Source organism: Homo sapiens, chromosome 10 (genome assembly GCF_000001405.40).
Source record: "Homo sapiens chromosome 10, GRCh38.p14 Primary Assembly".
Classification (NCBI taxonomy): domain Eukaryota; kingdom Metazoa; phylum Chordata; class Mammalia; order Primates; family Hominidae; genus Homo; species Homo sapiens.
The window spans coordinates 123,362,485-123,377,195 of NC_000010.11; the positions used below are offsets into that span (position 1 = coordinate 123,362,485).

Below are 14,711 nucleotides of genomic sequence, written 5' to 3' on the forward strand. Positions count from 1 at the left end.
TGGCACACAGCACATCAGTAATGAAGATCCAGGCAATGAACTCATAAATGGCCTTGAGGAGAATTTGGTTGTAAGAGGCCTGGGTGGCGCTGTGTTAAGGCCCCAACCCATCCTTCAACAGAAAGTGCCCTTGGCCATTTTCAGCATTCATATTTGCTGTGGGGACTCTGGGGCCTGGCATGTCCCTCTTCTCCTCTCACATGCCTGTCCTGTGGATCGCCATGGGCTACTTTGCGAATGGGCAAGAAAGTCATAAAGCACTCATTAAAGCAAGAGAGGGAATTGGTCAGCCCACCCAATCCAGACTGGCTCAGCTGACCCCTAATTTATCAATTTCATTCATGCAGCAAGTATTGAGTGGGGTGGTGTGCTGGACATGGGGGTGTAATAATGAGTGGAGATCCACTGGCTCACCCTTCCACAGTGGAGCTAGATGCTGATAAAAATAACCATGGAATTAGAAACATTTTTGCATCTAATCAGAAGGACAAGAGGGGCAATCAAGGGGCTGGGTGATAATAGATCACAAAGGCTTGGGTTGGTGGGTGGTGGAGGTGTCCAGGCAGGCTTCCCCAAGGAAGTGACATGTGAGTTGGGATCTGAAGGTGGGCCCGTGAAGGGGCTATAGGGGGAGAACATTCCAGGAAAAGATAACAAAATGTGGGAAGACCCTGAGGTAGGAAGGATTGTGGTGCAATTGAGGAATTAGGCAAAGGATGGCAATTTCTTCTTCCCTTCAGCCCCATCCTTGTAAGAAACATCTGCCTCTTTTTTTCTGGGGTCAAGGTTTTGAGATGAACTTGCCTGTTCCCAGACTCTCTGAACCTGGCCATCTGTGCCTTCGGAAGGTTCTTTGCAGCTTTTGGATATCCGTGCCTTTCCCAGGCTCCTTGGGCCTAGGAAAAGGCCCAGCTGGGGAAGAAGTAAGGCCAGTCCTTCCCTGCGCCTGGGTATCTTTTTGCCTCTGCTCCACAGCAGCTTACATCATAGCGCCTCTGGGAGAGCCCCCATGGCCTCTCAGCTCCATTTCTTGAGGAAATTTTCAATTAAAGGGTAATTGAGCCAGAGGTGTGAAAACAAACTGCCACCCGATTGACGCAGCAATGCGCCTTTTACTGGCTGAGGGCTAGAGCGTGGGATTAACATTCTAGAGCTTCTAACAGAGCAAGCCTTTTAAAAACCTGTAAGATACGTATGCTAATTATTTAATTATATAGTTAGGCCTGAGTTGTGAAAATTTCTATCTGGGGAATTACAGTGCATAATGCTTCAGTGAATGGCTTTAGAGACCCGTTTTCTAAAATGAGATTCTCTGTGTGACTGTTATGAGCAATGGCGCCATTTTGGTGGATGGGCAGTGTGGCTTTCCCAGTGACCAGACGTTGATCTCGGTGGCGATTTGAAAACAATTATCCTTGACCACACAGAAGGGAGGAGATAGTGTTCCACACACTCCCTGCTGCCAGGGCGGAGATCCTCTCCATGTCATGGTGCCATCTTCCTAGCAAGAGTAGAAAGAAATGCCATCCTGCCTGGGTCACCTGCAGGCAGGTAGGATCTATTGTCACAGTCATGGATACCTCCACCTCCCACAGAGATTCAGCCCCATTACAGGGTAAGGCCTGTGTATATATTACATGTGTAGGGGATGAAGCCTAAATAACCCTCACAAAGGTATTTTCTGAGCACCTACTGAATACCAGGCCTTCTGTGAGAGTTCCTGCCTTCAAGGGGCTCCCAGGTGGTAGGGGAAAGAGCAAGAGAGCAAGAAATGAGCTCTAAGTGTGACAAGGGCTGGTGTAGGGTCTGGATGCATGGCTGCCTTTCTGTCCTGGACACCACCCAGGCCTGAGAGAGTGGCTCCTGGCCTGGAGTTCTCAGATATTTAGAAAACCAAGGAGGTTAAATGGGGTTGGGGGGAGGGATAAGGAAGAGGACAGGAATAATTTTAGTATTTCTAAATCCCTAGTGCCAGCCTACATTTCCTGGTGCTAAGGGATCACTCACAAATAAAAAATGTTACTTATGATAAAAGTCAGGGGCTGAAATGGTGTTGGTTTGGTGTGATCAGATAGATCATCCAGATCAAGAGTACAGAAGGTCTTGTTACACACACAGTTTTTGAAAGTGTAGCTATTGTGGCCTACCTCATCAACTTGAAGTATAGATCATTAACTTTTCAAATTCAAATGGGCATGAGCACAGACTGGCCACATCAACTGCAAGTACAGTGTCTCTCTTGGGAATTTTTCTTTTTCCTTGGATTGGCTAAGTGTTCAAAGAGGTGGGGCCTACTGGGAAGGTTGTACAGACAGAGAACTGGGGAAGCTGGCCAGCTCATTTTTCATTTTGGGCTCACCCAGTAATCCTCATAGCCTAATAAATTGCCTTTATTTGCAAGGTAGTTTGAGGAAGGTTGTGATCACTTGAGAAAAAAGGAGCTCTAATACTCAGAAAATCTCTAGAAAACAGAAAATGCCTTTTAGTTGAGCAACATTATAAGACACCTTCAGAAGGGGCCCACCGTGGTGCTCCCAACATCTTGAATGCCCGTGCTGGGAAGGACCAAGGCTGCCATCCAGCCAGCCTTCCCCAGATGGGGACAGTGGGATACACTAGTTTTGTGTGATTTAAAAGATTTTTTTTTGGGAAATGTTTGGCAGTGGAGGCAGTGGGAAAAGATGAGTCAAATGAAGCTGTTTAGTAGGTTTCTTTACTGCAGGCCTTCTCAGAGCCTTTACAATGCTAAGGTACAGTGTGAGTCTTCAAGAGGAGGACAGAAAATGCAGTGTTTCCCCAAACATTTCATCATGAGAACCTCTACAATTCATTAATATTGCATAATAGTAATGTGGTTCAAGCCACTACATTAGTGGCGGAGACGCAGGGACATTGGGGTAACACGGTTACTGCCTGACCTCGAAACTGGAGCCCACCAGGGTTTTCCCATCACCTTCACCTTCTCTCTTGCCAATGTGCTGCAGAAACAGACATGCCCGTCTAACAAGGAGGGGCCTTGCTGGCAAGGCCCTTGCCTCTCAGCAAAGGTGGTGCAAGTCTCTGGCAGTAACAGTAAAACATTGGCTGGGACAGGCAAACAGCCAGGCCTAAAAGGGACTGCACCAGAGCATTCTCATCTAATTCTAACAAACATCATAGTAGTCCCCAGGAGAGCGGGGCCTTGGTGACGTATGGCCACTATTACAGCACCCAGTTGGCCAAATGTCTCCAACTTTGATGGACGTTCATCTGGAAGGTCATTACCACAGGCATTGGAAATGCCCTCTAATTCTAGAAACTCTAAATAATTCATATTGGCAGCTGAGAAAAAAATTCAAGGCCAGCCTGTGTTAATTTACTTAAAGTGAATTTTGACTTTTTGTGGTTGTTTGCTGTTGTGGACCAAGTTATGGCAAAGCAGTGGAACAGTGTTGTGGTTTTGTTCTCCTGTACATAAAAATCAGCAGATATCACCATACAATGGTGCATTATTGTTCAAACTGGGAAAACTACACAGTGCACTAAATGATGCTTTTTCTCTTTTTTTCTAATTTTGGGGTCAGTATTCCTCAATATGATACTTCCAGGTATGCCTGTGCTTGTGTGTGATTCCTCGGGGCCATCCTACAGCAATTATTTGAATGTTTCCTTGGGATTTCTAGCTGTAGAGACCAGAAAGGTCATTAGGGTTGAGGAAGAAGTCCCAGTATAATACCCCCAACGCCATTCTGTAACTGCTCTCAGGAGTGGATCTGAATCAGTCAACTCAAAAGCCTGTAATAAAAGGGAAAAGGAGATGGGGGCAACCTTGGGGTCTACCTGGAAACCAGAAACCTGATGTGGAATGTGAGCAACTGAGGGCTGGAGAGACTCATCTTAGATGAAAGTGTAGGTTGAACGGAGGCAATTAGCATCATGGACATACAATGATAACAACTACAAGACAACAACCACAACAACAAGCAATAAAGGGCACTTTCCATGTGCCTGAGGCTGTACTGCACAATTTATATGGAAAGGGCTTGGCCTTTGGGGCACGGAGAACTAGGTTCAAATGTCAGCTCTCCTACCCATGTGTTCAGTGGCAAACCCATGAGGCTCAGCTTCATTGAACCTTAGTTTCTCCTCCTGCAAATGGGGATAACAAGAGCTTCCTTGTGAAGTTATTGTCAAATATAAATTCATGCATTTGAGACATTTTAAAGCAGGTGCATTGCACCTGACATCCAGTGGGTGCCCTCAGCAGGGACCAGTGGTGTTGGTTCTCAGTGTCAGATGAAGCCTTGTGGAAGTAAGGTCAGAGTTCAATCTTTGAATGTGCCTGGAATCGGGACTTGGGGCAGGCTGGGGAACATGGTCTGCCCTAAATGTAACCTGCAGCTCTGGCACCGGAGGGTCCAAGCTGGTGTTTTTTGTTCACTCCATTTCAAGCTGAGCCTGTGTGATGTGCCAGGCACTCATGTTGGGCACCTGGGACTTAAGGATTAATCAGATATGTTGTCTTTGCATGTGTAGATGGGTCCAAGCAAGACCCGCCTCATCTCCACTCTGAATCTTTCTTGGAAACCTCTTAGAAGACATACCTGGGAGCCCCCACATCTTTCTGCTGTGCAGAGAACATCATGTCCTCATGAAATGAGCCATCTCCATGAAGATACAAAGCCCAGTGCCCAGGAAGCAGTCAGCCCTGACACTCTGGACTTCACCAGGCCAGCAAAGCAGAACCAAAGGAACGGGTTGGCAATTGTCTGCATAATCCAGACAAAAGTGGATTGTTTTTTCTTTTTTCTTTCTGGTCCTGAATAGTCCAAGTCACTGGGGATGTTCTCTCTGCTCTTAGAGAAAGAACCACCAGGACCCCATCTGAGTGTCCCTTTGTTAACCAAAGGCCCCAGCTCCCATGCCTTATTAGGGCAGTAAACAGAGAGATGGTGTATCATAGAGGCTGTTGTCCCTCTGCCAGCATTGGATAATTCTAGTAGCTGCTTGATGGGGTAAAGCAATTACGATGCATTTTTCATTCAATCAACCGAATCAATTAATTGCCTTACTCACATAGGAACAACAAAAAAACAAATCCCAAAGCCTTCTTGTTAAACAGTAAGCACGCTAGATAGGCTGCTTTTAAATCCAACATTTACATGAAATTATCTTCTTATATAATTAACAGCTACCAGTTAATAAACATGCCTCAGATAAAAGAGTAGCCCTATAAATGAACAAAATGAAACAGCACCATTTAGCATACTGAAGGTAATAGGCAGGCAGGTTCCATCAGGGCTGAGAGGCCTGCTGAAGATCCTTCCACAAGAGCTGTTCCTTGAGTCTGTGTAGACAGTTGGAAATTAGAGTGAGAGAGGAGAAGGAATAATGAAGGAGGCTGCCATTTAAAAATGTCTTGCCTGAAAACTAGGCCGGGAGCGGTGGCTCACGCCTGTAATCCCAACATTTTGGGAGGCCGAGGCGGGTGGATCACTTGAGGTCAGGAGTCGAGACCAGCCTGGCCAACATGGCGAAACCCCGTCTTTACTAAAAATACAAAAACTAGCAGGACGTGGCACACATCTGTAATCCCAGCTACTCAGGAAGCTGAGGCATGAGAGTCCGTTGAACCTGGGAGGCAGAGGTTGCAGTGACCTGAGATCGTGCCATTGCACTCCAGTCTGGGCAACCGAACAAGAACCTGGCTCAAAAAAAAAAAAAAAAGAAAGAAAGAAAGAAAAATCTCCTGGATGGAAAACCATATTGCACTTCTTCAGAACTGTGTGTATGGTAAGCCCCTCTTTGAAAGTTCTTTATATATTGGTAAATATTTTGTTCCTTCCAATAGCAAAAGATCTAAATTTCATGGATTTCCCACAGACTTGAGGATGGTGTTGGTACAGAGGTCCTCCTAGGCACTCCTGCCGTGTGGTGGGCCCAGCACACCGTAGGAATGGCTGCAGCATTTGAAATGAAAAGGCCGGCATTACTCCTTGGGAGCTTTTTTGCAAACAAGCGTGTAAAAAGAGCCAGGCTGCAGCAGCTCTGGGTGAGATTTTACCCAAGGGGATTCTACAAAGTGGGAGGCAAACCATTCCACCTCTAGAATGCAATATTTATGCCCCCATCAGAGGACGCTCATGACCTTTTTTTTTCCAGTTGTAATGGAAAAAAAGGGATATATATTGAAGAAAAAAATTTTAAGGAAAATCTCTCTCCTGATAAAGAGGGGGACTCTCAAATGCCAAAACAAAACCCAAGATGGGGGACACCCCATTTAGGTATTTTGAAGTGGTGATTTCTCTGCTGCCGATAGAACCTGGTAGAACATTCTATCTACTTGGTGGGGAAATGGTTTTATGTCAGGCTAGGGTGATTTGTGTGATATTTCGGTGCCATTATATCCCAGTTCTTAGTCTTATCCCAATAACTCAGGGGCTCTATTCATAATGGCCGGGATCCTCTGGAACTCTGAGGAGGTGAAACCATCTAATCATAGGAGTCCGCAGTGAGAGGGGCCTGGCCAGCCCTCTGTTGACATCGCCTGTGCTGTCCCAGCAGACATTACAAGGACACAGCAATTTCCAAGTGACCCTTTTTCTGCAGTGTGGGGCTCTCAACCTTAGTCACTGCAGCGTGGGAAGACTTCACTCTGAATAAGCAATGCCTCCTGAATGAGTCTGTCCCTTTTCTGAAAAAACAAACAAACAAACAAAAAAAACCCCCCAAACCAAAAAAACAACAAAAACAGCTCAGTGATGGGGAGGGGAGGTGGTCTCGTCTCGAATCTAGAATACAGCCGTGAATACCTGAGATGGAAGTCTTTTCCCTTTTATAGTGTGATCAAACAAGATAATGGAAGGCAAAGTGCTCCAGGAACTATCCCCAGCCACTACAATGGAAGATAATTAGTGTCATCATTTTCTATTTGCAACATAAACTCAATCTACTTTCCTGGTACCTCCATAGGTGATGCGCCTGATCCAGGTGTGAAAATTGTAGCTCTCCTGGTTACGTCAGTCCTTTTGTTTGTCTGCAACCAGCCAGAAGCTGGGGGTGGGGTCATTCTGCTCTTCTTCAAGGCTTCATCTGAAGATGTGCAAATGTTTTCTCCTGCTTAACTCTGTCTGCACCCTTGATATCCCGAGGAAGACCACTGCTCTATAATCTATTCTGGGGGTGGGTGGGAATAATACTTTTTTTTTTTTTTTTTTGAGTGCTCACTATGAGCTTGGCACAGGGCTGAGCTTTTCACAACCTTTATCTCATGGTATTCTCATGACAGTCCCACCAGGGCAACTACTATTATCATCTCCATTTTACAGATGAGGACATGAGGGAGTTTCCAGGGGTGGTAAAGATCTGTTTCATGATCTGGGTGCTGGTTGCATGGGTGTGCTGTGTTTGTGAGAATGTCAAACATCTGTGAGAGGGGCTCTTTACAGAATACATGTTACAGTTCAATACAAGGTAAAAAGGAAGTTAAGGCCACTAAAAAAGTGGCTGTTTGCCAGTGTCGCTGGTTAAATGGTGGCCCTCAAAAGATGTGTCCATGTCTTAACCCTTGGAACCTGTGGATGTGACTTATGTGGAAATGGGTTTTTGAAGATGAGATCACCCTGGATTATCCAGGTGGGCCCTAAATCTAAAGATAAGTATCCTTAGAAGAGACACAGGGGGAGAAGAGGGGAAGTACTTGTGAAGACAGGCAGAGTGGAGTGATGATGTGGCCACAAGCCAAGGAATGGCAGGGGCCACCAGAAGCTGGAAGAGGCAACAAAAGATCCTCTTCAGAGGGAACCTGGCCCTGTGATACCTTGATTTTGAATTTCCGGCCTCCAAAACTGTGACAGAATCCATTTCCATTGTAAGCCAAGCAGTTTGTGGTCATTTGTTATGGCAGTCCTGGGAAACTAATACAGCCAGATAAACTTGGTCCTCTGTGGGCATGAGTACAGGAGATTTTTCCTGTAGGAGGTAGGAGTGTTTCATGTGATGAGTTCAAAACCTCATTCTGGGTTTCTTGTGGAGAATGGATAGGAGAGACAGGAGGCAGGGAAACCAGCTTTGTCCTTTACTGTATAAAAAACACAACCTCATGCATCAATTCCTTTTTAAAATGCCATTTTCTTTTCTGACCAAAATTCACCCAGGAGGGTGGAAAGAAGAAAAGAAAGTGGTCAACTCCCTCCTTTGGATGTGAGGCAGAGTAGTCAACGTTGCTTTCTTAACTTCAATGTTATTGAGGTATAAACTACATAAAGTAAGAGCACAGATCTTATCTGTACACTTGGATAGTTTTGATGAACCTACACAGTAGACCGTCACGTAACCAACCCCTTGGTCAGCATTTCCAGCATCTCACATCCTGCCCCAATCAACCACTGATCTGATTTCTTTCAGCATAGACTAATTTTGCCTGTTCTTGAACAAACTCCCTATAAATGAAATAATACATTTTCTACTCTTGTGTCTGGCTTATTTCATTCAGTATAATATTTTTAGAAATTCATTCATGTTCTCACTCTGTACTTTGTACATTTTTATTGCTGGGTAGCATTCCATTGAGTGAATATACCACAGTTTATCAGTTCTCTTGTTGATATAAATAACATTTTGGTTATTTTCAGTTTTTTCAATAGTGAATAAAGCAGCCACTAACATTGTTTGTGTGGACATATGCTTTTATTTCTCTTGGGTAAGTGCTTAGGAAGATAAGTGGATTATAATCTGTATAAGAGGCACCTAGTGGTTTTGCAAAGTGGTTGTATCTTTTTATAGTCACACTAGCAGTATATGAAAGTTCCGGTTGCTTCACATCCTTGGCAACACTTGGTATTGTCAGTCTCTAGTTTTAGACATTCTAGGGAATAAAAAGTGGTGTCTCATTGTGGATTTCATTTGCATGTAGCTAACAACTAATGATGTTGAACAACATCTTTTCATGTGCTTTTTGGCCATTTGTTTATCTTCTCTGGTGAAGGGCCTGGTCAAGTCTGTTGTTCATTTTATTTATTGGGTGGTTTCTCTTATTATTGAGTTGTAAGTGTTTTTTATATATTGTGGATATAGGACCTTTGTCAGATTGTGTATTGAAATATTTTCTCTCAATTTGTGGCTTGTCTTTTTCTTTTTTTTTTTTTTTTTGAGACAGAGTCACTATCACTCAGGTTGGAATGCAGTGGTGTGATTTTGGCTCACTGCAGCCTCTGCCTCCTGGGTTCAAGGGATTCTCCTGCCTCAGCCTCCTGAGTAGCTGGGATTACAGGCGAGTGCCACCATGCCCAGCTAAGTTTTGTATTTTTAGTAGGGACAGGGTTTCACTATGTTGGCCACGTGGGTCTCAAACTACTGACCTCAAGTGATTCACCCACCTCAGGCTCCCAAAGTGCTTGGATTACAGGCATGAGCCAGCATGCCTGGCAGTCTTTTCATTTTTAACATGATTTCTTTTGAAGAGCAGAATTTCAAATTTTGGTGAAGTCAAATTTATGATTTCATTCTTTTAGGGTTAATATTTTTTTGTGTCCTGTCTAAGAAATATTTGCCTACCTCAAGATCACAAAGATTTTTCTCCCAGATTAATTTTAATCTTTGCTTTTGCATGTAGGTCTCTTTTGAATTAATTTTGTGTATGGTGTGAGGTAGGCATCCAGGTTCATTGATGATTTTCAACTGAATTGAAAGGCACAGGTGTACAAGTGAAAAGGCAGGTGAGGGTGATGTTGGTTTTCAATCATAAATTTACCATTTATTTTGAGAATTTACTGGGTACCAGTCACTGTGCTAAGCTCTAGGGTTTCATAATGGTGGCAATATGGATATGTCTCCTGCCCATATGGAGTTTATTATCTGGAGAATAGACAGACACACATGAAGGAGTCACACAAATAAATATGAAAAGACTACTGTGGTAGGAATAGAAAATAGAGGTCCCTAGTGTTACATATAACAGAGAAGACTTTGCATGATGACATGAAGACATCATGGTTGAGTTGAGATTTGAAGGAGAAATAGGTAACTAGGCAAATGGGTGGTGGTGGTGGAGAGTGCAAGGGCATCAGGCAGGGGAGGAAGATGGGCTGAAAGACCTGGGTGTGTTTATGTGTCTGGTTGGAGGCCCCAAATCTGAGGTTTTGTAGGCAGTGCTGAGAATTTTGCTTTGATCCTTAGAATAGTGGGAGGGCAATGAAGGGTTTGAAAGTGTGTGTCTGCACGTGCATGTGTGTGTGTGTAAGTGTGCATTTTGCACACATTTGTCCTCTGCACAGGGAGGTCAGGCCAGAAGGCTGGTGTTGATTTGGGTGTGGTTCTTGGGGAGACTTTGTGTTTTGCTGCAGGTGAACCTGGCCTTGGGACAGGAGCCATGGTAGATGCAATTGCAGTGACGGCACCAAGGACAGACCCCCAGGCCCTACAGGGAACAAGGAGAGGAGGCACTGGGGCCATGTTTGACAGTTTGTGAAGCCTTTTTATACTCATCCTCTTACTTCACTGCACAACAATTTGATGAGAGAGGAATTATTGTTTATATTTCTTAGAGTTTTCTACTTTCCGGAGAAGGAACCTGAGGATGAGAGAAGGTGGGCTGTGCTTGTGATTGTTTAACCAGGCAGTGATGACACCAAGATGCGGTCCCTGGTCTTCCTGCTCTAAAGGCCCCCTCTTCCTCCAATATAACCCGTAACCAGGAATCGTGTTATGGGTTAGAGGCATTTTCCCAGGCTCTAAATTCTCCCTGGGCTCCTGCTGCGGGGCCATTCCCTTGGTTCAGAGCAGCTGTTAAGACAACTGGGCCTGGCAGCTTAGGGCCCAACAAGAGTCTTGTGTGAAGACTGAAAACCCATCCAATGATTCTCAGTTGCTCTACACCCACCTGGGCAGACCCAGCCAGGAGCCTCCCAGAGGTGTGATGGAGAGAGCCCCAGACTTGGAGTTGGGCAGACCTGTGCCCCAATCCTGTGCTTCCACCTTGCAGCCATTGCGCTTGGGCAAATCGCTTAGACTTTCTGGGCCTCAGTTTGCTTAATGTGTAGAGGGCAGACTATAGTAGCGTCTACATTACCAGGTAGTTGTGAGAAGAGAATGGGAGAACTGTTTCAGGTGAAAATGCTATCCCTGTCTGGTTCATAGTAGGAGCTTAATAAATGCGAGTTGTTGTGGCAGCAGCATTGTTCTTATCATTTACTAGGGGGAAAAGGTTAGTTGTACGGTTGTGGTGCCATTATCATCATCATTACTAGGGGGAAACAGACACATTGATTTATCCTGGAAAAGTTCTCTTTTCCTGCTGGCCAAACGCCTGACTTGGAACGACACAGAGCTCTGAGGGTGCTTGCAGTTCCACACCATCTGGCTGATTTGTGGTAATAATCTTTTATGTGCATGGAGCATTTTTTCCTTTGCAAAGCACCATCACATCTCTTATTCCATTTTATCCCCAAACAACCCTCTGAGGTTGGCCGGGCAGGGGTGATTATCCCCGTTTTCTAGATGGTGACTTGTAAAACAAACACAATTTGCCCAAGATCACAAGGAAAGATGGTGATGAAAGGCAGGGTGAGAACTTGGCCAGGTCTCCTAACGTATTCGTAGGAGTGTGGGCAAGAGGCATAGGCTGACTCTGCAGCATTCTTTAAGAAATAATTTCAGCAGCCACTGTTTATTGAGCACCTACTGCATACTGGGCCTAAGGGGAGGGTAGGTGTGTCATGTATGTATTTACTCATTTAATCTCCTCACCAATCCCATGGGGCTGATATTGTCCTCATTTTACTTATGAAGAGACCGAATCCCCCAGAAGTTAGGTTAGTGGCCCAAGATCCTTGAGCAGGTGAGTGAGATTTGGGATTTCCATTTGAGCCAAGACAATGGCAAAATTGGCCCTCTCTTTACTCTCCTGTTTGCCCCTGAAAAGAGAAGAGGATGACAAAAAGGTGAGCAGCAGGAACTGCCAGAATGGACATGAGTTTGAGGAGTTTCCTATTTCTAAGTGGGCTAAATGAAACCTTTATCTTCATGACGGTCGCTATCATGGCTGGGTTGATGTCTGGGTATCTGTTTAGGAGCTAACAGGTTTAGTTTTATTGTTTTGTCAAAATACTACAGAAATCAATATATCTCCATAATTCAGTGTTATACCGAGAGGCATTTTTTTGCCATATATAGCAAAAATTGTATTATACTTTTGAGATCCTAGGTAATGATGACAAAGTGTCCTGTGTTCAATTCTAGCATTAACGTCTGGTTTGAACAAAGCTTGAAATATGATCTCAGAGCTAAAAGGCTTTAGTATTAAGATCTTTAACTGTAATTTATGTGACAGAAGATAGGGTTTAGCATAATAAAATGTAATGGGCTCTTCAAATGAAGAGGACGAGAGACAATTGAAAACAAGGTAAAAATGGTAAATTATAAATAACGGTAAATCTACCTTTATGTTGTTACTTCATTTATTTTTGATTTGTTAGATAGGCTCTATAATTTCTCATTTTCCATGTTTCAGAACAGGGCATTTCTCAAATGGTGCCTATCTGAAATGAGAGCCCATAATCACCGTTAGCCTTAGCTTGCTATTTAAGGGATAAGAACATTTCCACCACAGTTCACGTTTTCCATTTATGCTAAGATTTGATCTGATTGATTCTATTGATCTCTTGTTCTCTCTTCCTTTGTCCCTTTTCCCTCTTGATATTTATGGGTTTATTCATATTTTTCAAATCAGCTTCTACATTTAAATGCCATGATGTAAATTTGTATGCAAGTTGTGTGAACATTAAGGAATTTAGGCCAAACTCTAGAAAATTAAATTCACAGAAAGAAGAGCAAACGAATTTGTTAACCGCAGGGATGCCAGCACTATTATTCCTATGTGTTCAATTTTGTTTTGAGCTTCCCAGATGCCGAGGGCATGATGGTTCATGGAATTTTTATTACACTGTAGAAAATAAGGTAGCAATTCTTTGAGAAAGAGAGAATTTCCTGGAACTTAACTTGTGAGATCTTGAGTAATAAACTTTTATTTTTTAGTCTTGCATTCTCAAAATTTGTTTGCTTCAAGATTTGGAAATAAACAGACAGAAGTGATGTAGAAAATTAAGAAAAGTCTTAATATGACGTTTGGCCTCCAGGGCTATGTTTTTTGTTGCTGTCGTTTTTGGAAGAGCCTTGATTCAGTCAGTTTAGCAGCGATGAGCCCAGGCCCCCTGCTGCCAGCATTATGTAGAAGTCTCGCCCCCAGGGTAGGAAAGACAGACATGGAAGAGAACTCAAATTAACTTCCCACTATTGCATTTGGTAAGGGCATTGGAACATATTCTGTACCATTTTTGAAGCATTCACTTTGACTTCAAAGTGATATAAGAGGAGTTAATTGGCCTGGATCTTCCCTCTCCTTCCCTTGGGGTTGAGATGGGTCTTGGCAGTGCAGGTCAAATGTGAAGGTGTTTCTGTCTTGGACCAGTTGATGGACTTCCTGTGACGTCACCAAATGCATTCATGCTACCCACTCTTACATTGCACTTGCCTACTGGGGATGACTTTTGCCTGAAGACCTCCCAAGCCCTACAGATCTGTCTTGATTATAGTTTTCTCCATCTCTCCAGGCAGTGATTTTCTATTTTATTAAATAAAATAAAATAAAAACTAGTTTTTTTTAGAGACAGGGTTTGCTATGGTGCCTAGGCTGGTCTTGAACTCCTGGACTCAAGGGATCCTTCTGCCTCAGCCTCATGAGTAGCTGGGGTTATAGGCACAGGCCACCCAAGCAGTGACTGCTGAGATGTAAATGTCTTGGGAAGGTGGGGGAATCTGCTATCAGACACTAGTGGTCCTGGTAAAGTAGTTGGTGGGAACTACTTTACCAGGGCCATTTCCTCCCATGGTGGGAAGAGCTTCGGGTGGGTGCTTTTAGGTCTTCCAAGCAGAACAGGAATCTAATGCAGGGGATTGGAGGTTCTTACGGTCAGCAGAAGCGCTGGGAAGCAGCTGCTTGGTAGGTGATTCAGTGTCTCCCTCAACAAGTGCCCATCCTGGGTCTCTGTAACCTCAGCAGGGCTGCCTTTGCGCTTGCTTGTAGCTCCAAAGCGGGTGACTTAATCTCAGTCCCTAGATTTGATCTCTGTCCACCTATCTGCCTGCATCTGCCACCAGAGATCAATAAGGACTTCTCCCTTCTTTCCTCCTTCCAGATCTTACACAGCAAGTTCATTGGTTGACCCTAACCCAGAGGCACACGGGAACAGGGGTTCTGGGAAATGTGGCTTTTCCCTGCAGGGCAGAGGCGTGGAAGGTGAGGCTGGGATGCTCAGGGGCCAGTGAGAGCCCAGGGCATTTCCTTATCTCTGTCCAGGGACTGTGGCCTTCCTCTCCTTCCCCCAATGCCACCAGCCCATGAGGGCCTGGTTATGGGTGCAGGGTAGAAGATCTGTGCTGGGTATGGCCATGCTCAAATTTCCACTCTCCTACCCCAGCCTTCTCCAGTTTCCGGGGTCTGGTTTTCTTTCCTCTCTTAAAGTCCTGGAGTGCTCTGGTGTCAGCGTTGGTGTCACTCTTAGGGGAATCTGACCCCTGAGACTGGGCAGGCCCCATTGTTTGCTCTTATGGGACCCCGTGTGTCTCCTTCATGGCATGCATCCCATCTGCAGCTCAGTGCTTATCTGTGGAAGGACTTGTTTACTGTTCTGGGTCCCTGCTCGGCTAAATTCCACGAGGTCAGGAATTGTGTCTTT

At 44.5% G+C, this 14,711-nt stretch overlaps 1 long non-coding RNA gene across 3 annotated transcripts in view; it reads left to right on the forward strand.

The window, feature by feature from the left end:
- Window positions 1-14,711, forward strand: part of LINC02641 (long intergenic non-protein coding RNA 2641) — a 214,291-nt gene that overhangs the window by 14,562 nt on the left and 185,018 nt on the right. The gene's annotated exons all lie outside the window — the stretch shown is intronic.